The sequence below is a fragment of the Homo sapiens genome, chromosome 1 (assembly GCF_000001405.40).
Source record: "Homo sapiens chromosome 1, GRCh38.p14 Primary Assembly".
In the NCBI taxonomy this organism is placed as follows: domain Eukaryota; kingdom Metazoa; phylum Chordata; class Mammalia; order Primates; family Hominidae; genus Homo; species Homo sapiens.
Window position 1 is genome coordinate 203456437 of NC_000001.11, and position 1618 is coordinate 203458054.

Consider the following 1618-nt stretch of genomic DNA (forward strand, 5'->3'; position numbering starts at 1 on the left):
ATAAAGCCGAAAGGGGGTTAAGAAGTTTTGTGTGAGTATTGCAATTTCAGGTAGGGTGGCCAGAGGCAGCCTTGCTAAGAAGGTGAAATGTGATAAAGCCCTGAAGGATCTTAGGAAGAACACCCAGAAGGAGGGAGTAGGGCGTACTAGTTTGGTGCAAAAGTAATTGTGGGGTTTTGCCATTACTTTCAAGGGCAAAAAGCTGCAATTACTTTTGCAACCAACCTAATACAAAGACCCTGAGGCCCAAAGGGGAGTGCTGGATTGGTTGAGAAATAGGAAGGGAGTGAGAGGGTCTGGGTGAATGAAGGGCGAGTAATAGGATTAACAGTCAGAGAAGTAAGAGGAGTGGGGACGGGGAAGCCAAAGGGCCCAGAGCCTTGGGTTTTCCTCTGAGATTGGAAGCCACTGGAGTAACAGGATTGTTCTTGCTGCTGTGTTGAGACTGAAATGAAGAGAAGCAAGAGAGGAAGCGGGGAAACCCTTTGAGAGACTATTGCAACAATAGTGCTGGGACTAGGGTGGTGGCTGTGAAGGTAGTGAGAAGTGATCAGAATCTCGACGTAGTTTGTAGCTAAACCCAGTGGTGTGCTGGCAAAGGTTTAACAACTGGCTCTTGGGAATGGGGGTTGGCTGATTTCTGTGATGTAAATATTCCCATCATGGCTGATTTCAAGCTACCAACAGGATGTCAATCAGCTTATGAGATTTCTAAAACTTGTAACTGTTGGCTCTTGGGAGTCAACATAGGCCAGTTTCAGCACACCACTGAGTAGGTCTAACAGGATTTGCTGATGTGAGAGATGAGAGAAAGAGACCAAAGATGACTCCAAGATTTGGGCAATTGATAAAATGAAGTTGCCATTTATTTAGATGGGGAAGAATATAATGGGACTAGGTCTGGAGGAAAATATCAGAGATCTCAGTTTGGACATTACAAGTTTGAGAAATCCATTATATCTTTAAACTTTAGACTTCACAAGACATTACTGTTACTGTTTTCTACAATGGATGGTCATTTGGATTACCCACACATTTGCCACTTTATTGCTTTTCATTCTTTCTTGCCTCTCAGACTTTCCATCCAAGATCATTTCCCTTCTGCTCGAAGAATAGAATTTCCTTTAGAGGAAATCAGCTGGTAGCAAACACATTTTTGTTTGTTGTTTTTCTACTTTATTTTTATCATCTGAAAGCATCTGTACTTCACTCTCACTGTTGAAATGTATTTTCACTGAGAAAAGAATTTTAGGTGGGCAGTTATTTTCCTTCAACATATTAAAAATTTGTTTAGGGCGGGTGCAGTGGCTCATGCCTGTAAGCCCAGCACTTTGAGAGGCCAAGGTGGGCAGATCAGCTGAGGTTGGGAGTTCAAGACCAGCCTGGCCAACATGGCGAAACTCCGTCTCTACTAAAAATACAAAATTAGCCGGGCGTGGTGGTACATGCCTGTAATCCCAGCTACTTGGGAGGCTGAGGCAGGAGACTCACTTGAATCTGGGAGGCAGAGGTTGCGGTGAGCCGAGATCACGCCATTGCACTCCAGCCTGGGCAACAAGAGCGAAACTCCATCTCAAACAAACAAACAAACAAAAAACAAACAAAAAATTTTGTTTAA

At 43.6% G+C, this 1618-nt stretch overlaps 1 annotated feature.

Moving 5' to 3' along the window:
- Window positions 231-431: a silencer, noted in NCBI's record as "peak660 fragment used in MPRA reporter construct". NCBI's record gives its function as "represses an SCP1 promoter by STARR-seq MPRAs in K562 erythroleukemia cells {active_cell/tissue: K562}" and the evidence as "EXISTENCE:reporter gene assay evidence [ECO:0000049][PMID:32103011]".